The 20,137-nt window shown below is 49.3% G+C and overlaps 2 protein-coding genes across 6 annotated transcripts in view, besides 4 other annotated features; one reads left to right on the forward strand and one right to left on the reverse strand.

Annotated features, from left to right (window-relative positions):
- TCF7L1 (transcription factor 7 like 1) overlaps positions 1-2,515 on the forward strand; it is a 176,996-nt gene extending 174,481 nt beyond the window's left edge. For both annotated transcript variants that reach the window (XM_006712109.3, NM_031283.3), the window contains exon 12: positions 1,157-2,515. In XM_006712109.3, the coding sequence (XP_006712172.1) occupies positions 1,157-1,590 (434 nt within the window). In that variant the 3' untranslated portion in view covers positions 1,591-2,515. The remainder of the gene's footprint in view (positions 1-1,156) is intronic.
- Positions 1,764-2,647: an enhancer, noted in NCBI's record as "H3K27ac-H3K4me1 hESC enhancer chr2:85536759-85537642 (GRCh37/hg19 assembly coordinates)". NCBI's record gives its function as "activates a minimal SCP1, AML or CMV promoter by ChIP-STARR-seq in naive H9 embryonic stem cells {active_cell/tissue: H9 hESC(naive)}" and the evidence as "EXISTENCE:reporter gene assay evidence [ECO:0000049][PMID:30033119]".
- Positions 5,513-6,013: an enhancer, noted in NCBI's record as "H3K4me1 hESC enhancer chr2:85540508-85541008 (GRCh37/hg19 assembly coordinates)". NCBI's record gives its function as "activates a minimal SCP1, AML or CMV promoter by ChIP-STARR-seq in naive H9 embryonic stem cells {active_cell/tissue: H9 hESC(naive)}" and the evidence as "EXISTENCE:reporter gene assay evidence [ECO:0000049][PMID:30033119]".
- TGOLN2 (trans-golgi network protein 2) lies at positions 10,155-20,117 on the reverse strand. 4 transcript variants are annotated; one of them, NM_001206844.2, is made up of 5 exons: positions 20,045-20,117; positions 19,107-19,813; positions 18,636-18,932; positions 17,043-17,126; positions 10,155-14,869 (listed from the first exon to the last, which is right to left on the reverse strand). In NM_001206844.2, the coding sequence occupies exons 1-5, from the start codon at positions 20,088-20,090 to the stop codon at positions 14,864-14,866; spliced, it is 1,140 nt and encodes a 379-aa protein (NP_001193773.1). In that variant the 5' UTR covers positions 20,091-20,117; the 3' UTR covers positions 10,155-14,863. The 4 variants fall into 4 exon arrangements, with proteins under 4 accessions (NP_001193773.1, NP_006455.2, NP_001355025.1 ...); NM_006464.4 differs by having other exon boundaries at positions 18,636-19,813; NM_001368096.1 differs by having other exon boundaries at positions 10,155-14,886; positions 18,636-19,813.
- Positions 18,720-18,889: an enhancer, noted in NCBI's record as "active region_16116". NCBI's record gives its function as "activates an Ori minimal core promoter by ATAC-STARR-seq in GM12878 lymphoblastoid cells {active_cell/tissue: GM12878}" and the evidence as "EXISTENCE:reporter gene assay evidence [ECO:0000049][PMID:35858748]".
- Positions 19,130-19,309: an enhancer, noted in NCBI's record as "active region_16117". NCBI's record gives its function as "activates an Ori minimal core promoter by ATAC-STARR-seq in GM12878 lymphoblastoid cells {active_cell/tissue: GM12878}" and the evidence as "EXISTENCE:reporter gene assay evidence [ECO:0000049][PMID:35858748]".

The following is a 20,137-nucleotide window of genomic DNA, read 5'->3' on the forward strand; positions in this document are numbered from 1 at the left end:
CTCTGAGATGTGAAGGCATTTTCCCAGGCACTCTGCTTCAGTGGTGGTGGTAGGATTTGATCCCAGGACTTTGTCACTTCAAAGCCTAGACAATCTAATTCCATTGAAAAGTGAATCATCCTACCTGAGGGTTAATGGAATGAGGTTGAAATTGTCTTTGAAATACCCTTAGGAAGGCAGCACATGAGCCCCTGACATCCCACCTGTCAGTGGATCCAGGGGAGCCCGGGTTTCCTTGGATGTTTCTTTGGTTGAACACCAGAAAAAATTAGTTTGCTTGGGTTTAGGAGGCACTTTGTGTCAAAACCATGTATAAAATCTCTATATTACCAGAATCATGCCTAGCACAGAAAGATGCTCACACTGTGACGATTATTATTAATATTTAGGTCACGCCCCCCATCTCATGCTCACTCCAGGACAAGTGTATCGCTGCTTGCACGATGTAAAGTGCTTTCAATCTCTCTTCTTCATTCCTCCCTCCCTCCCTTTCTTCCTCCCTCCCTTTCACCTTCCCTCCCATTCTCCTTCCCTCCCTTTCCCCTTCCCTCCCTCCTTTTCTCCCTCCCTTTCTCTTTCCCTCCCTCTCTTTCCCTCCCTCTCCCCCTCCTTCCCTCCCTTCCCCCCCTCCCTTTCTTCTTCCCTCGCTTTCTCCTTCCGCCCTCCCTTTCTCCTTCCCTCCCTCCCTATTTCCTTGCCTCCCCTCCTCCCTTCCTTCCTTCCTTCCATTATACATAGGAGCGCACATGAGTGGAACCCGTACCTGCTACAGAACCCGCTGTCTGGCACGCTGTTCAGCAGGCATGCACTCTCTCTGACTGTATTAATACCATAAACCAAAGATTTCAAAGCAAACTGGAGATTCATCCCAAAAGTTACCAGCTTTAGGAAAGGAGGGTGGTCCTGTGAGACACTGAGCCGTCTTCTCTCCGATCTGATGCTGGGTGGATCTTCATCAGTTTGGGCGTTGCCTCTTCTCTGTGCTCTGGGTATTTGTGAATGCAGTTTCCTAGTCTTGAAAGCCTTGGAAGTAATGTCAGGTCCTCGCCAAAATCATCCCTGTGTCTCCAAAGCACATGTATCGCCAGGGCTGTTCCTCAGCCTCCTCCTCTCACAGAGCTATAGCTGCTCACTCTTTCTTGTATTTTCCCCCTAGGTGCCCTGGCCTCCAAGAGCAAGAAGCCATGTGTTCAGTACCTGCCCCCCGAGAAGCCCTGTGACAGCCCTGCCTCCTCCCACGGGAGCATGCTGGACTCCCCGGCCACTCCCTCTGCAGCTTTGGCCTCACCAGCTGCCCCTGCTGCCACCCATTCGGAGCAAGCCCAGCCCCTCTCCCTCACCACCAAACCAGAAACCCGGGCCCAGCTGGCTCTCCACTCTGCCGCCTTCCTGTCGGCTAAGGCTGCAGCCTCCTCCTCTGGGCAGATGGGCAGCCAGCCTCCCCTCCTGTCCCGGCCCCTCCCCCTTGGGTCCATGCCCACAGCTCTGCTGGCCTCTCCCCCGTCCTTCCCCGCCACGCTCCATGCCCACCAGGCCCTCCCGGTGCTACAGGCCCAGCCTCTTTCCCTGGTCACCAAGTCTGCCCACTAAGCTCCCCCCGACCCCTGCAGGCTGTCACATGACTCATTGAGTAGTAATGATTCAGAAGAAAAAGAAAAAGGAGACTTTATTGGTCAATATTTGACCACTCTGGACTGTTCTGTAAAGTGGCTGGTAACAACAGCACTTTACAGTTTGTAGATGTAACCAGTAGCTGATCTTAAGGCTTTTTTAAAAAACAAAACAAAACAACAAAAAAAAATCTTTATAAGAAAGAGAACTGAAAAGTAGCGTGCTATTCGTCCTGTAGGTGCTGTGGTGGATGGACCTGGGCAGAGGGCACTTCTCTCTCTTACCTCTCTTGCACTTTCTGTCTCCTGTCTCTTCTCGCCCCTGCCGCCTGCCCCAGCTTCCCCGACTCCATCTGCAGCTCTGCCATTGTGACATTTCCTGTTACCCAGCCCAAGTTTTCATCGTCTGCTCAATACCGTGGGTTCTTCTTCGTCCTCTGTCCTCTGCCCAGTGTGAGGCCATCACCATGTGAGAAGACATCTTGGCCTGATTTGCTGCCACCAGCGTCCCCTCCCTCAGTGGGCCCGAACTCGCCAGCCCCAGCTTTCAGTGGAGAAAGCGGTCCTCTGAAATGGTTTCCTCCCAACCCCCGCATTTAAAGGGACTCAAGGTGCCTGCCACTTCCTCAGCGAAGAAGTCTGTGTTCCTCCCCGTCCTTGCCAGTGGCGATCATCCCTTCACAATCCCAGAGTGGCAGGCGGGACCGGCCCCATGGTCTGGCTCCTGTCACCTGGGTCCGTGCCAGCACAATCTGCCAAAGTTCTAGAGACCCTGTTCCCTTCCCCATCACCTCACATGCTTCTTCTGTGTGTATTTCTTTTTGTTTTTATGGTTTTTGGAGCAATTTAAACTCCCAGTTGTTTATTTTCACAAAAGAAAATAAAATTGCAGTTGCAAGACCTTTTCTGAGTGTTTCTTTAGTGCTTTTGTTGAATCAAACCACCTGTTTGTTTCACTCCCAAACCCTGTGTTAGACTTTCGCAGATATGCAAAGGAAGATTGCCACTTGCCACAGGGGAATGTTAGGCATGCCTGACACCCTTAGAAAACCTGAACCCAGCTTCCTGTCTCAAATGTGCATGGGCCAGTCAGTGTCCATGACTGAGCTGCAAAGGGGGTAATCATTTTCACAGCTGATTTAAATGAATTTGCCGCCTGGAATGACATTCAGCTTATGCTTCTATCACCCATTTGACTCGTAATTGCCAAGATGTGAGGAAGCATCTTTTGGATACTTTCCATAGTATCTAGCACCACAATTAATTTTTTGTAACAGCTTTATGGAGATATACTTCAGCCATTTAAAGTTACACTTCACCCATTTAAAGTATACAGTTCAGCTGGGCAGAGCCGCTCTTGCCTATAATCCCAATGCTTTGAGAGGCTGAGGCAGGAAGATGACTTGAGGCCAGGAGTTCAGGACTAGCCTGGGCAACATAGCAAGACCTGATCTCTTTAAAAAAAAAAAAAAAAGCAACTAGCTGGGGATGGTGGCACACAAGCCTGTAGTCCCAGCTTCTCAGGAGGCTGAGGCAGGAGGATTGCTTGAGCTCAGGAGCTCAAGACTGCAGTGAGTTATGATTGTGCCACTGCATTCCAGCCTTCTCAACAGAGTAAGACTCTGCCTCAAACAAAAAAGGTATACAATTCAGGCTGGGTGCGATGGCTCACACCTGTAATCCTAGCACTTTGGGAGGCCGAGGCGGGTGGATCACCTGAGGTCAGGAGTTCGAGACCAGCCTGGCCAACATGGCGAAACCCCGTCTCTACTAAAAATACAAAAATTAGCCAGGCATGATGGTGCGCACCTGTAATCCCAGCTACTTGGGAGGCTGAGACAGGAGAATCGCTTAAACCCGGGAGGTGGAGGTTGCAGTGAGCCGAGACAGCGCCATTGCACTCCAGCCTGGGCAACAGAGCAAAACTTCATCTCAGAAAAGAAAAAAAAGTAGACAATTCATTGGCTGTATGTTCAGAGTTGTGCACCTATCACCAGTCAATTTTAGAAAGTTTTTGTCAGTCCCAAAGGAAGCCCCATATCCTTTGAAAATCACTCCACATTTTGCCCATCTCCCCCAGCCCTAGGCAACCACTAATCTACTTTCTGTCTCCAAACTTGTCTATTCTAGACATTTCATATACAGTCATGCATCGCTTAGCAACTGAGACAACGTTCTCACAAATGCGTCGTTGGGCAATTTTATTGTGTGAACATCATAGAGTGTAGTTAGAAAAACCTAGATGGTGTACACACCTAGGCTATATGGTATAGCCTATTGCTCCTAGGCTACAAGCCTGTACAGCATATGCTACTGTACTGAATACTGTAGGTGACTGTGACACAGTGGTGAGTGTTTATGTATCTAAACATAGAAAAGGTGGCTGGGCGTGGTGGCTCACGCCTGTAATCCCAGCACTTTGGGAGGCCGAGGCAGGTGGATCACTTGAGGTCAGGCAGGTGGATCACTTGAGGTCAGGAGTTCGAGACCAACCTGGCCAACATGTTGAAACCCCATCTCTACTAAAAATACAAAAATTAGCCAGGTGTGTGGCACATGCCTGTAATCCCAGCTACTTAGGAGGCTGAGGCACAAGAATCACTTGAACCCGGGAGGCAGAGTTTGCAGTAAGCCGAAAGCGCACCACTGCACTCCACCCTGGGCGACAGAGTGAGACTCTTTCTCAAAAAAAACAGAAACAAAACATAGAAAAGGTGCAGTAAAATCTGGTGTAAAAGATAAAAGATGGGCCGGGTGCAGTGGCTCAAGCCTGTAATCCCAGCACTTTGGGAGGCCGAGCAGGGTGGATCACCTGAGGTCAGGAGTTAGCGACCAGCCTGGCCAACATGATGAAACCCCGTCTCTACTAAAAATACAAAAAGTAACTGGGCGTGGTGGTGGGCGCCTGTAATCCCAGCTACTCAGGTGGCTGAGGCAGGAGAATTGCTTGAACCCAGGAGGCAGAGGTTGCGGTGAGCCGAGATCGCACCGTTGCACTCCAGCCTGGGCAACAAGATCAAAATTCTGTCTTGGGGAAAAAAAAAACAAAAAACAAGATAAAAGATGGCATAGCTGTATAGGGCATTTCCCAGGCATGGAGCTTGCAGGACTGGCAGCTGCTCTGGGTGCGTCAGTGAGTGGTGAGTAACCATGACGCTGTACACTTAGGCAACACTAGGTTTATAAAGAAATATTCTTCTTTCTTCAAGAATAAATTAACCTTAGTTTAACTTTTTTACTTTATCAACTTAAACACTTTTTGACTCTTGTAATAACACTTAGCTTAAAACGCAAATACACTGTACAGCTGCACAAAGATATTTTCTTTATATCCTTATTCTATGAGCTTTTTTCTAATTAAAGTCTTTTTTGGGGCTGGGTGCAGTAGCTTATGCCTGCTAATCTCAGCATTTTGGGAGGCCAAGGTGGGCAGATCACTTGAGATCAAGAGTTTGAGACCATGACCTCAAAACCCCAACTCTACTAAAAATATAAAAATTAGCCGGACACGGTGGCGGGCGCCTGTAATCCCAGCTACTAGGGAGGTTGAGGCAGGAGAATCTCTTGAACCCGGGAGGCGGAGGTTGCAGTGAGCTGAGATCATGCCACTGTACTCCAGCCTGGGCAGCAATGCGAGACTCCCTCTCAAAGAAAACAAAAACAAAAACATTTTTTTTTTTACTTCTTAAACTTTTTTGTTTAAAACAATAAAAATATAGCAAATACATAAACCAGTAACATAGTCATTTCGTTCATTAAAAAGTACTATAGGCCAGGCGCGGTGGTTCACGCCTGTAATCCCAACACATTGGGAGGCCGAGACGGGCAGATCACCTGAGGTCAGGAGTTCGAGACCAGCCTGGCCAACATGGTGAAACCTCTCTACTAAAAATACAAAACTTACCCGGGCATGGTGGCGGCCGCCTGTAGTCCCAGCTACTCGGGAGGCTGAGGCCAGAGAATCGCTTGAAGCCAGGAGGTGGAGGTTGCAGTGAGCCGAGATTGTGCCATTGCAACCCAGCCTGAGAGACAAGATCAAAACTCTGTCTCAAAAAAAAAAAATACTGCACATAATTCTGTGTGATAGACTTCTTTGTATGACTGGCAGTGCAGTGGGTGGCTCCACCAATGCCAGCCTCTCCTTCCCCTGCCCCATGTGGCTGGGTCTGCAGCCTGCTCGGCCTCCCCTCTCTCAGACCGGGGGAGCTGAGGGGGTGAGGTAGAGACGGCCCAGGGGCAGAGCAGGGGGGTCGGGCTTGGTGCACAGGCAGACTCTGCCTTTGCTACTTCCTGCCTCTCTCTCTGTGACCCTGACCTCCCTTCTCCCCTGTCCCAGGACCTCTGGGAACTGACACTGTCCTGGCCAGGCCCCAGCATCTCACCCAGGCAGCCCAGCTAGAGCCATCTGTCCCTCTTGCCCTCCATCTGTGTTCCTGTGTCTCTTCCTCCTGAACACAACCTGAGGGCCTCACAAATATTTAGTTACATGAACGAAGCAGGCCGGGCACGGTGACTCACGCCTTCAATCCCAGCACTTTGGGAGGACGAGGCAGGCAGATCACTTGAGGTCAGGAGTTTGAAAATAGCCTGGCCAACGTGGTGAAACCCCATCTCTACCGAAAATACAAACATTAGTGGGTGTGGTGGTACATGCCTGTAATCCCAGCTACTTGGGAGGCTGAGGCAGGAGAATCGCTTGAGCACGGGAGGCGGTTGCAGTGAACAGAGATCGCGCAACTGCATGCCAGCCTGGGCGACGGAGCAAGACTCCATCTAAAAATAAATAAATTTTTTAAAAAATGGAAAAAGCAGAGGAGCCAGGGACCCGGCATCCCTCTGGCACGGGAATGGGAAGACAGCAGAAGAATCTGTGGGGGCAGTTTCCGGAACACCGGTCTCAGGTCATCTGCTGAGGAGTGGGGAAGCCCAGCTGTTTAGGTCTGGGGAACATCAGGTGCCCCACAGTGGCTGTGGCCTCTGCCATAGTGTAGTTCTTCCCTCCTCCCTCCAGCTGAGTCCTGAGATGCCAAGTACCAGTCAGGCTGCCTGCCTTTGCTCACATGCATTGGCATCCCTCTGGAGGCCTTGTGTTCTGATGTCACACTAAGAATCATGCATGTTCACTCACTCCGTGACTGCATAAAAGTTCATCCTGAAATCAGGCTGGTAATGAGCTGCTGTTCATGTGTGGTCTTCATGGGGGGAACCCAGTCATGTGCTCCACACTTCAAGACACGAAGGGGAAGATGGGAGGCAGTAAGCTTGACCTTCCTGCAGGTGCTGAGCCAGCTCATGGGGGCTGAGGACCAGGGCTGGGCTTTACCTGCCTCTGAAGGGGCTTGGAGCAGAGGCAGGGGAGGTGGAAGAATAGGAACCTGGGGCAGTGTCCTTCCCAGGCAGGAGGACACAGAAGAGCAGGCCCCTGCCAACATCAAGTTGAAACAGCTGTAAAAGTGGCCTGGGCACAAAGCTGGCAACTGAAGATAAGGCTCAGGACACAGCGAGCGGTCACCCTGAGGCTCTCCTGGGAGCAGGGAGTGGCTGTCTCCGGCCATGGTCCACAAAGGCACCAACCACTCCCCTTTGCAGGTGTGAAGCAGCAGCTGGGGACAGTTCAGCCCGGCTTAGGCATGACCTCTGTTTTCATCTGCCTGCGAGGCACCAAGGAGGACCTGCATCTGCCGTCCACCAACTACTATGTTTACTATGACACGGACATGGACCAGGCGTAAGGTGCACGTGTGTGTGTGGCCCGTGCCTCCCTGCTTGACTCAGAGAACGAGCAGAAGTTATGGAATGGGAGGAAGTAGGCAATTTCCAATTTGCACCTGGAAGTTTGTCACACCAAGGCTGTGGCTCAGCTTCACCCCTGTGGGGAGTCCCTAGGGACGAGCAGTCCTTGCAGTGGTTCTGGGGTTTTGAGGACAAAAGCCTGGAGATCGCACCACACTCTTGTCACACGCAGGATGGAGCGCTACATCTCCATGCCCAGGGAAGAGGCTGCGGAACACATCCCTCTTCTCTTCTTCGCTTTCCCATCAGCCAAGGATCCGACCTGGGAGGACCGATTCCCACGGGGGGCTGCACGTCCTGGGTGAGGGGGTGGAGGGAGGGGCCGGGCAGTAGTAATATCAGCTCTGATCCCCAGGCCGGTCCACCATGATCATGCTCATACCCAGCACCTACGAGTGGTTTGAGGAGTGGCAGGTGGAACTGAAGGGAAAGTAGGGCAGTGACTATGAGACCTTCAAAAACTTCTTTGTGGAAGCCTCTATGTCAGTGGTCCTGAAACTGTTCCCACAGCTGGAGGGGAAGGTAGGGGGTAAAGTATTTGGGGTGGTGACGGACCTCATGGTGCTATTTCTGCCCTTTCCTTGAGACAGGGGAATTGGGCCCCAAGACATGAGCCCCAGGGAAGGACAGGGCACCCAACCCCGGAGTCAGTGAATGGGAAAGAGTGGAAGAGGGAGGGGAGCCAGGATCTCACATGCCTGCCCCACCCTTTCTGCCCTCAGGTGGAGAGTGTGACTGCAGGATCCCCACTCACCAACCAGTTCTGGCTGCTCCCCGAGGTGTCTGCTACAGGGCTGACCATGACCTGGGCCGCCTGCACCCTCGTGTGATGGCCTTGAAGGCCCAGAGCCCCATCACCAACCTCTGACAGGTATACTCACTGCCCCATGTTGTCAGGACCTGAGACCCTGGGCCCCTGTCGCCCAACGTCCTCTGTTCCTGCCCTCAGGCCCTGCTGTCCCCTGCAGCCTCCCATCCCCTGAGCAGGGCTGCCTGGGCAGGCTGTGGCCCCTGTCTGATTGGAGCCAGCTCTGGGTGGCCCTCATGTGGAGGGAAGAGCACCAAGGCCCCACCCTCCCCTGGGCCTGCCTGGGTGCACACTCAGGGGCCTCTGCTCTTGCCTCCTAGGCCAGGGTATCTTCACCTGTGGACTGGTAGGGGCCCTGCAAGGTGCCCTGCTGTGCAGCAGCGCCATCCTGAAGTGGAACTTGTACTCAGACCTTAAGGATCTTGTCTCTAGGATCTGGGCACAGAAGAATTAGTTCCATCAGGGAGGAGTCAGAGGAATTTGCCCAATAGCTGGGGCATTAGTTCCTTGCACATATAAACCACTCTTATTTGGTTCTGATGCCTGAAGAGAGGCCTAGTTTAAATCACAATTCCGAATCTGGGGCAATGGAATCACTGTTTCCAGCTGGGGCAGGTGAGATCTTTCCACCTTCTATAATATGCCATCCCTACTAATAGGATATTGACTTGGATAGCTTGATGTCTCATGACGAGCGGCGCTCTGCATCCCTCACCCATGCCTCCTAACTCAGTGATCAAAGCGAATATTCCATCTGTGGACAGAACCCCTGGCAGTGTTGTCAGCTCAAGCTGGTGGGTTCAGTTCTGTCCTGAGGCTTCTGCTCTCATTCACTTAGTGCTACGCTGCACAGTTCTACACTGTCAAGGGAAAAGGGAGACTAATGAGGCTTAACTCAAAACCTGGGCATGGTTTTGGTTGCCATTCCATAGGTTTGGAGAGCTCTAGATCTCTTTTGTGCTGGGTTCAGTGGCTCTTCAGGGGACAGGAAATGCCTGTGTCTGGCCAGTGTGGTTCTGGAGCTTTGGGGTAACAGCAGGATCCATCAGTTAGTAGGGTGCATGTCAGACGATCATACCCAATTCATATGGAAGTCCCGGGTCTGTCTTCCTTATCATCGGGGTGGCATCTGGTTCTCGATGTGCCAGCATCAAGGCACCTTCAGGGAGCTCGGTACCCGAGCCTCAATCAAGCCTTATCCTCCAAATATGCAGGGAAAGGTGACACAGGGCAGGGAAGGGTGACGTCAGGAGTCAGGGCATCGACTGGTAAGATTACTTCATTGTGTTGAGGCAGGCTGCAGGGCATTCCACACAATGGCACAGCAGAGGACAGCACAGGGAGGCAACAGAGTGTTCCCAGCAATGGCCCAGCTACTGAAAGCAGGCAGCCAGGCTGGGAGGAGTCAGGTGGCAAGAGAGTTGGTCAGGAGCAGAACATGGAAAGCCAGAGAAAGTGTGCAAAGCCCAGAAATGGCATCTGCAATTTACTGGTACATGTGTGTGTTGGATGGAAGGTGAAGGAAGGCTCAAAAGGCATAAAAAGGACCTTTCACTTATGTTAAACTGACATGCCAAAGGTCTTATTGGAGTTCATCTTAATATAATATTAATAAATTTATTGGCCGAGCGTGGTGGCTTACACCTGTAATCCCAGCACTTTGGGAGGCCAAAGTGGGCGGATCACGAAGAAGAGATTGAGACCATCCTGGCCAACATGGTGAAACCCCGTCTCCACTAAAAATGCAAAAATTAGCTGGGCGTGGTGGCACGCACCTGTAGTCCCAGCTACTCGGGAGGCTGAGGCAGGAGAATCGCTTGAACCTGGGAGGCGGAGGTTGCAGTGAGCCAAGATCATACCACTGCACTCCAGCCTGGTGACAGAGCAAGACTCTGTCTCAAAAATAAAATAAAATAAATAAATAAATAAATGTATTAAATCCATTGCTTTAACATTTTGAAATTTATTTTGGTTTCTGTTCAACAAAACCAAACCACATTGGGATGGCATTTACAGAAGCTCAGAAAAACATTATGCACTGAAAAATACTTCTCATTAGACCACAACAAGCTTTAAAAAAATAAAATTAAGTAATTATAGTTAAGTTACAAAAAGCTGAAAGTATAAAACATTGTGGAAACAGTGACCATCTATTAACTGGGAAAACACAAAAGAAGAGAAACAATTTCAACCATTAATCATTTATCAAACATGAAGTCTGGTGCATTAAAGGAATATCTATCAGAGGGTGAGGGGCTGGCTTACTGGCAGTTTGACATACTATACAGCTCAGACCCAAACCCTTCACAGAGAGACTCTAAGTGTACATCTGACTTGCAGAACTAGACGAGTTGAGTCACTGTTAGCTCTGGATATACCGTTAAATTAAACCTCAAAATCTCTCCCCAGGACTCTTGCTCAAGCAAGTCACGCCAAATCCAACCTTCCTAACAGGGGTTTTCAGAAAATGGCCTGCAGAAGCACAGGATCTGGTGCCTCACAGTTTCCTCCATGCTGCAATGCTCTAGTTCTCATCACGCCCATAGCATCTGGCATCAGGTTACCCTGTACAGTCAACGGCCATAGAAGTCGCCAGCAGGGAAATTCCAGAGGTTTAGAATTCTATCAGCACATGTGTCACTGGAAGCCATCATGGGAGTACTATGTCAGAGCGTATGTAACTAGCTGTCAGGTCTTTCCCCGTTGCCTCAGCCTTTCTACACAGACTGGCCTTCAACTTCCCCTGAGTCCAGAAGTAGACTCTTTCAGCAACTCTATTCAGGAATCTGCAGCAGGAAAACTGCTTCCTCTATTAACATCTATGACTGAAGCACAGATGTGTCTAATAGAAATCACCCTTCACCCAAAAGCTGGGCGCAGAAAGGGAAGCCCTTAGCTGACTATAGGAGGTGCCTCTTGTGGCTCCACGTGCTTCTTACACACCACCCCCCAGCTTGAGCGATGCCTCAGCCAGCTCACCCTCATCCACACAATCGCTAGAAAACATGCTTCAAATATTCTATCTTTGAAAAGACACCATGCAGAAAATAAGCTTTCCTCTGATGTGCGGTATTTTCTTCAATGCTATTTCTTTCTTTTTTTTTTTTTTTTTTGAGACGGAGTCTCGCTCTATTGGCAGGTTGGAGTTCAGTGGCACGATCTCGGCTCACTGCAACCTCCGCCTCCCGGATTCAAGCAATTCTCCTGCCTCAGCCTATCTAGTAGCTGGGACTACAGGTGCACGTCACCATGCCCGGCTAATTTTTGTATTTTTATTAGAGACGGGGTTTCACCATGTTGGCCAGGATGGTCTCGATCTCTTGACCTCGTGATCCCCCCGCCTCGGCCTCCCAAAGCGCTGGGATTACAGGGGGAGCCACCGCGCCCGGCCTTTCTTCAGTGCAATTTCTAAAGAGAAACTTAAATCCTGTTGTATTCTTTCAACACAAGCAATGATACTTCTCAGAGTCTGCTCAAAAGCTCAGCTCTGTGGACTCCGTGACAAAATGTACGCGTCCACTGCCGACCCTCTTGGTTTCTGAAACCAACCTTTCTTCCTGCTCTCCTCTTTAAGAGCAAACCCCAACATGTATAAGGTCACAGCAAGTGGTAGCCAGGAAAAGCTGTGGGACCCCTCATTTGAGTCACATCCATATGGCATGGAGAAAGAAAACCTCTCTGCCAGAAGGAACTGAACTCTGGAAGTCCTAAGGAAGGTCACCATGATCAGCAGATAGGAAAGCATTGCCAAGGGCTGTCCCTCAAGAGCTTAGTTTTCTTAGGGAGACCAGAAAGACATCAGATCCTGACTGCCCTGTTTTGCTCAAGTTCTGAAATGAGTGGCATGATGAAGAGCTGGTGGAGCTGAGGGAAAGAGTCAACCATGTGGGGTGGGGTAGTGAGGAAGGTGTATGAGGAAACAAACTGGGCCCTGACGAAACAGGCGGATTGGGGAAGGAGAAAGAAGGAAGGGAGAGAAACCTAACCAAAGAAACATGGGAAGCTGGAAAGTCGAGGGCACAGCCGGAATAAAGGCACAGATGGGCACCCCACAGGAGGGGCCTTGGCCAGGTTGGGATGCAGAGAAAAACAGGCAGGAGGGTGTCAATCTATAGCATCCTGAACCCCAAAAGGTCTGTAACTGGATTCTCTAAGCCTTGAGAAGTTCACACCAAAGCTTCAGACCAGGGAAAATATTTTGGAAAGATCAGTCTTTCCAAGAGTGAGCTCCTTTCCAAGAAGCTGGACAGGAAACCCAATAAATGTGGATCTGAAAAAACAAAATCCAAGAGAGAAGCAAAATGGGCTGGGGGTGTGCAATAAGAGAAGCAAGGAAAATGGAAAGACTGTAGCTGAGGATCTTTTATTAAAAAAAAATGGATGGGACTTTGGTGATGAGAGAGAAAAAGGGCAAAAGTCTGCAGTTAGGAATTTAGGTGACCGAAGACTGTCCTAGACAGTTGGGAGGGACAGGCTGATGGACAGAAGAGAGAAATTCCTTTCAATGACAACCAAGCTGAACTATTCGATACCAGCAGAACTGGGTTCTTTAGGGATTAAGCCAAGACAAAGACTTGGGAATCACTCACTCCGAGGATGAAGAATGGGTTAATGGCTGAGGAGACAGTCAAAGGAATAGAGAGGCCTGGCTTTGAGGGCCTCTTCACCACCAGCACAAGATAAGGCAAAGGACCATTTGTCAGAGACACCAAGAAAGGGGAATTTCCATTTGGATGGTCAATAGTGTCCAGTTCTGCCAAGGACAAGACTAAGCTTTGAGAAAAAGCCATGGATTTGGTGATTGGATAACTGGTAACCTTTAGAAAAGTTTAGTTGACAGACAGAGACCGAAGTGAGTTAGTAAAAGTCATGAAGAGAATGAATGGCAACTTAAGGGAAGCAACATACTGGAGAAGTTGAGCAGCGGGATGAATAACAAATAGGACAGATGGGAACAGAAAAATCTGGGTGCATACGAAGGTGGATGGAAAGGAGCTGGTACAGATGGGCACAACCAGAAAACATGAGGAGGGGAAAGGAAGGGAAAAGGAAGGCAGGCAGGGAGAGAGACGTGAAATAGCCACAGTCTTAGGGGATGCTAGAGAAGCCTAGAAGATTCCTCAGGTTGGTGCAAAGTATTATAAGACTAACGCATCAGTACAGAGAATGACCCAAGAAGGGTAGGAGTTCATTCCTTACCTTCATAAAGTAGGCTATCCGCCAAGAATGAAAATGTCAACTCAAAGCTATGGGCTGTTTTAAGCAAGGTGGAAGATAATATAAGAAGCATGGTCCTTTCTTCAGACTTACTGCCTTGACAGCACAGAATTCATCTTATTTCCCTCATCTCCCAAGTTATTTGTATTTCCCTGAGATCAGCTCAGAAACAACTCTCTTTAGGCTCTCTACAATGCGGTAGAGCATGATTAGAAAAGATAAACCTTCAAACAATAGTGTTGTCCAAGACACTACCCTCACTTATCCCAGGGGAACCCACGGAATTTCTTCATTTGTATTAACTCCTGACATGGCATGGAAGAAGAATTTTTATCAAATACCCTTGGCATCTTATATCAGATTAAAGGACCATTAAATACACTGAGGTAAAATTGGCAGAGAGTATAGTTTCTATTAATAAATCTAAGTCTATTTTGTCTGTTTTAGGCAACAAAGGCAAAATGGACTTTGTGGGAAATGTATCTCATAAAAGCCCTTTGGAAAAACTGCAGACCAAAACCAAAACCCTCCTTCATGTTTTCTCGCATGAAACATAAACTTGCCCTATTTCAAAAAGTTCCTACTGAGTATGATTGTGTGAAAGATCACACTACTTCAAATCATATTTATTTTAAAAATCTGTGATGGGACAGTGGCCTCACTGCCAGGAAGCCCAAGTTCTGTTTTATGCTCGGTACAACTAAGTGGAAGTTGATTCACTTTGTCTCAAGCTACATAAAATAATCAGAAAATCAAGAAGATCTCATGCTAGACAGGTTAGACTTGCACCCAAAAAAGCATCTTTTTTTTTAACCTGCTGTTTTGGTTTGCTGCTGAAGTCTTTGAAGAGAATTATGTATTCAAAGTAGCTCTTTGCCCATTGGCATTTCCCCATCTTCTATGTCTTCTGTAGGGCACATCCCCCCCAAAGTAAGAGGCCTTAGTAGAAAAGCACTTCCACCTGCAGTTTTCCCCTAGGTCTGCAGAGAGAAACAGTGCAGAGTGCAATGCCACAGTCAAGGACCAACTTTCCTACAGAGCCCGGGCCCCAGGGAGGGTGGTCAGCAGCGCAGCCTGCCCAGGCTGGGATCTCCCTTTGGTCATAGCCGTGTTTCCATATACCCCTCCACTCACCCTCAGAGGAGGAACGGATGGAAGCCACCAGCATAAATAAAGGGAACACAGAAGAACAATGTCACCAAAGTGCAGGTGCAAAGCCCAAAGCAGCCCCCTACCTCTGCCAGCCCAGACCCGCCACTAAATTCTAGAGGAGGGTGTCTCTCAGGTCACAGTACTTTTTTCTTCATTTCTTTTGATTTAGAAACAAATCAGCAGGGAGGACAAGGTTCTCAAGGACAAAAAAATCAAAGCTGAAACGAGAGCAGCACAATCCATTGGTGACGTTCATCTTTTTCCAGAGGAATATACCATTCTGTTAGGACTTAGGGGAAAAAAGATCTTTTAGGAGGTGCAGGGAAAACATTCAGAATTAAGACATACTGACCCACCACCACAGAAACAGCAATTAATTAAAATAGCACACAAAATGATTTTTAAAGTTTGAAATGAAACCTAACACTAGAAAGATATACACTTGATGGAGAGAGAGGAATCCTGGCTTCTGCTTCATACTGTTCTGTACTGTTGTGAATTATTTACATGTGTTTTTTGTTGGTGGTGGTTTTCTTCTTTTTTGAGACGGAGTCTTGCTCTGTTGCCCAGGCTGGAGTGCAGTGGCATGATCTTGGCTCACTGCAACCTCTGCCTCCGAAGTTCAAGCGATTCTCCCACCTCGGCTTCCTCAGTAGTAGCTGGGATTACCATGCCCAGCTAATTTTTGTATTTTTAGTAGAGATGGTATTTCACCATGTTGGCCAGACTGATCTAGAACTCCTGACCTCAGGTGATCTGCCTCCCAAACTGTTGGGATTACAGGCGTGAACCACTATGCCCAGCCACATGTGTATTTTTTTAAAAATCATAAGCCATGTGTGGTGGCTCACGCCTGTAATCCCAGCACTCTGGGAGGCTGAGGTGGGTGGATCATTTGAGGTCAGCAGTTCAAGACCAGCCTGGCCAAAAGGGTGAAACCCCATCTCTACTAAAAATCTAAAAATTAGCTGGGCGTGGTGGTGGGCGCCTGTAATCCCACCTACTCGGGAGGCTGAAGAGGGAGAACTGCTTGAACCCGGGTGGTGGAGGTTGCAGTGAGCCAAGATTGTGCCACTGCACTCCAGCCTGGACGACACAGCAAGACTCCGTCTCAAAAACAAACAAACAAAAATCATAAAAGGGGGAAAACCCTTAAAGTCAATTATCTGAAAAGGCAGTAGTCCAGAGCTAAATTGTAAAGCTAGCCTACTGGACTAGTTAGCAAAGATATTCTGAGCTCAGTGGCTCGTTCTGTAGCTAATATTGAGTTGTGCAAGAGAATCGTGTTCCCTGCAGGAAGTCTGGGAACAATTCATAGTTGGGCCACCAATGGTTCTTTGCCAATGTCCTGGCTGTTGCTATGCTGAAAGCAGAAGGAAGGGTGCATGCTGGTAGCAACGCAGTGAGAGTACAGTCTTCCTGCTTAGACAGGTTGTCTTTAGAGAGACCCTTGCTTAGCTCTGCTGCCATGGGGTGGAAGGAGGGCTTATCTGTCTGACAGAGGAATGGATTGGCTGTACTCAGGAACTCCAGCCTACGGTGCTTAAGCCAGGCTGATGTGGGGAGTTGGAGGCCTATGTGCTTCCAGGCTCGTGTTTCCAGGGAGCACAGTCTAGCACTTTACCACACAAAGTGTGGATCCAGTGGCATTTGGTTTCACCTGGGAACTTCCTAAGAATGTAGACACAGGCCAGGCACGGTGGCTTATGCCTGTAATCTCAGCACTTTGGGAGGTCGAGGCGGGCGGATCACCTGAGGTTGGGAGTTCGAGACCAGCCTGACCAACATGGAGAAACCCATCTCTACTAAAAATACAAAATTAGCTGGACGTGGTGGTGGCGCCTGTAATCCTAGCTACTCGGGAGGCTGAGGCAGAAGAATCGCTTGAACCCAGGCAGCAGAGGTTGTAGTGAGCCGAGATTGCACCATTGTACTCCAGCCTGGGCAACAAGAGCAAAACTCCATCTCCAAAAAAAAAAAAAAGAATGTAGAAATATAGGCTCCACCCCACATCTAATGAATCAGATAATGCTTTTTATCAAAATTCCCCAAGGTGATTCAAATGCCTATTAAAGTTTATGGAGCGCTGGCAGAATGCAGAAAGCTCAGGACTGGGAGACTAGGGAGTTGCTATCAGGTCCTGAGTTTGCCACTAACTTGCAGTAGAAACTTAGCGGAAAAAAAAAAAAAAGAGTGTTTCTGCGTGGGCCTATTTCCTCATCTGTGAAGGGAGGTAGCTGCTGTAGAGTATTCCAAGGTCTCTGCTAGCTCTAACGTCACAGATATGTGTATCTAGATGTTTCTAGTTTGTTGTCTAAAAAGGGCGAATGCAACAGCAACAGCAACCGCATCCCCAGAATCAGCCACTGCTGCTTCATGGCAAATGCAAGCCCACTACTGGGTCCATCTGACGTTGCCTATCCCTCCTATCCCTCCCATGGACCTGGCTCCTCCTTCCTTACCTTCTGGTCCAAACGTTGGTAGTCACTGGCCTTTGGCCGCCGGGTGACTTTAGATCTTTTTCCTTCCAGGACAAAAGCAATGATCTGAGGAAAGGAAAAAGAAAATGATTAACAGGTGGCTCTGTAATGACATAGTTCAGTCTCTGAACTCAGAGGCAGTCACCTGGTAGCATATTTGTTAATGACCCTGACTGTAGAAAGAGCAGTACACTCACAGAGGTCTATTTAAACTATAACCATTTTAAGAAAGACAGAGCCTAATTACATCAGAATCCTTTGTATTGCTTAATAGGAAATAACAAATAGAAGGCTGTCTGAGCTCTAGCGTGTGGGAGGAAGTCTGTTTGATTTATTCAAAGGTACACAGTCAAAGATCTATCAACTCCTTCCTAGAGATATCTAGGATATAGGACATTCCTTTAAAAAAAGTCATAATCAGAATTTCCTATCTACAAATGTACTTTTTCACCCCACGATGCTACATCAACTACATTCTTTATCAATCTCATTTCATGACTAAGGTTACCCTGCATAATGGACACTTGGACATAGAATAAGAAATACACTTTTTTTTTTTCTTAGAGGCAAGGTCTCACTCTGTCACCCGGGCTGGAGTGCAATGGCGTGATCATGGCTCACTGAAGCCTCGACCTCCCACAGTCAAGCCATCCTCCCACTTCAGCCTCCTGAGTAGCTGGGACCACACACGTCCACCACCACATCTGGCTAATTTTTTTATTATATGTAGAGACGAGGTCTTGCTATGTTGGCCAGGCTGGTCTCGGACTCCTGGGCTCAAGCGATCCTCCTGCCTCGGCCTCCCAAAGTGCTGGGATTAGAGGCAGGAGCCACTGCACCGGGCCAGGAATGCACATTTTTACTAAAGGTCTTCCCCTTTATTCTTTATAGCCATAGGCCTTATGGCCAGAATTGGACTCTCCAATTTTAAGCAGGTTACAGAAACTAGCTTCTAAATGTTGGGGGCTCAATATGAAATGCAATCATTTTGTCATTAGAGTGGTTGCTAATAAACAGACCAAACCCTGATGAAAAAGTAACAGGTGTACGTGTCTGTGCAATTTCTGGGCTTTCTTCTAATTATTATTAATTGCAGAAGTCCCTGGGCTCTTTGGTCCTGGTATCGAAGACGCAGTAATTGAAACCATTCTTTGTGCCACTGCTGATGGAAGAGAGAATGTTGGGAAAGGAAGCTAGAAATGACATATCGTCTCAAGAAGGGAAATAGGATGGAAGGTACGTGCTTTAACTGTCAAGTACTCAGGTCCTCTGAGGCTGTGAAGGACCTAAGTGCAAAGTTATGGGAGGAGATTCCAAGTCAGGTCAGATCCTAATAATGTCCTAACTTGGCTCCTAATGCAGTAGCAGAGGACACTCAGAGTAAACAGGTGACAGGATGAAAACACGATTAACAAAACAAGAGTAAAGAGGCCTAATAGGGCCTGAGGAAAAAACTGAAGTTTGTTTTAAAGTCCCCAGTGCTCACGGGCATCTAGTGACGGGATACCCACCCACACCCAAGCTTCCAGGGTGCTGGAAACCCCACTCCCCTCCGGAAGGCCGCTGTCGACTTACCTTCCGCTTGTTGTGATGAGCGATATAGAGGACAGCCACAAGAATGGCTGCAGTCACCAGATATGCAAAGAAGTGGCTGCTCTCCGCGCTGCCATTTCCAGAACCGTTCGGATAAAGGTCATCCTTCTCGCTACCCGTGGAATCCGAAAGTGTCCCTTCACGGTTCTCACTGGAGGCAGAACCGGACATCTTTTCTTTCTCTTCTTTGGGCGGTGAGCCCTCCTCGGGTCCTGTATCATCATCTTCAGCCTCTTTGGGCTCCACATCCTCAGTAGGCTCTGAAGACTTAACTTCCTCCTGCGGGGGAGAAATGAGGTCAGTTTCCTCCCCAGATTCGGTTTTGAAAGCATGAGGAGAAAGCTTCCCTTTGTCAGCAAGCTGGTTTGTGTCAGCCTTGGGGAGCTCCTTGTTATCAGAAGGGTTGGAGATGGGCTTGGAATGGTCTTTCCGGGAAGGCTGCTCTGGAACCACCTTGTTAGGGCTGTCTTTTGAGGTCTGCTCCTCCGCACCCGACTTGCTGGGCCCGTCTATTGGGCCCTGCTCCTCTGCACCGGACTTGTTAGAGCCGTCTTTTGGAGTCTGCTTCTCCGCACCCGACTTGTTAGGGACGTCTTTTGGGGTCTGATCCTCCGCACCCGACTTGCTGGAGCCGTCTTTTGGGGTCTGGCCGTCCGCACCCGACTTATTAGGGACATCTTTTGTGGTCTGCGCCTCCGAACCTGACTTGCTAGGGCTGTCTTTTTGGGTCTTTGCCTCCGCACCCGACCTGTTGGGGCTGTCTTCTGGGGTCTGCGCCTCCGCACCCGATTTGCCAGTGCTGTCTTTTGGAGTCTGCAGCTCCGGATGCGACTTACTAGTGCTGTCTTTTGTGGTCTGCGCCTCCGAACCCGACTTGCTAGTGCTGCCTTTTTGGGTCTTTGCCTCCGCACCCGACTTGTTGGAGCTGTCTTTTTGGGTCTTTGCCTCCGCACCCGACTTGTTGGGGGTGTCTTCTGGGGTCTGCGCCTCCGCACTCGACTTGCTAGGGCTGTCTTTTGGAGTCTGCGGCTCCGGATGCGACTTGGTAGAGCCTCCAGGCCGTTGGCTCAAGCTGGGGTGGGTGGAGACGTTTCCTGCAGAAGGCCGTACTCCAGCTTCTTCTTGCTTGACGCTTTCGGTGGCCAAGAGCGGCACGGCTCCTGAAATAGAAAAACGAGTTAGCACCGGAGAAGGGCAGGCGGGAAGAAGGAACTCCTCAGAACTGGAAGAGATCGGGAGCAGCGGGGGAATGGGGATTGGGGGGTGGGGCGGGAGACGATGGCGAGCGGAGAGGTGGGTCGGGTAGGGAAGAAGCGAGCCTAGAGGTGACCTGCCCAGGTGAGAATGGGGGATCTGGGGGCAAGAGTGGGATGCGGGATGGAGGGTCTTACCCGCCGCTGCGACGTTCAGGAGGACCAAGGCAACCACGAACCGCATCCTGCTCGGATAGCGCTTCCGCCCTCTAATGCTCTCGCGAGATCCGC

Source organism: Homo sapiens, chromosome 2, assembly GCF_000001405.40.
Source record: "Homo sapiens chromosome 2, GRCh38.p14 Primary Assembly".
Taxonomy (NCBI): Eukaryota; Metazoa; Chordata; class Mammalia; order Primates; family Hominidae; genus Homo; species Homo sapiens.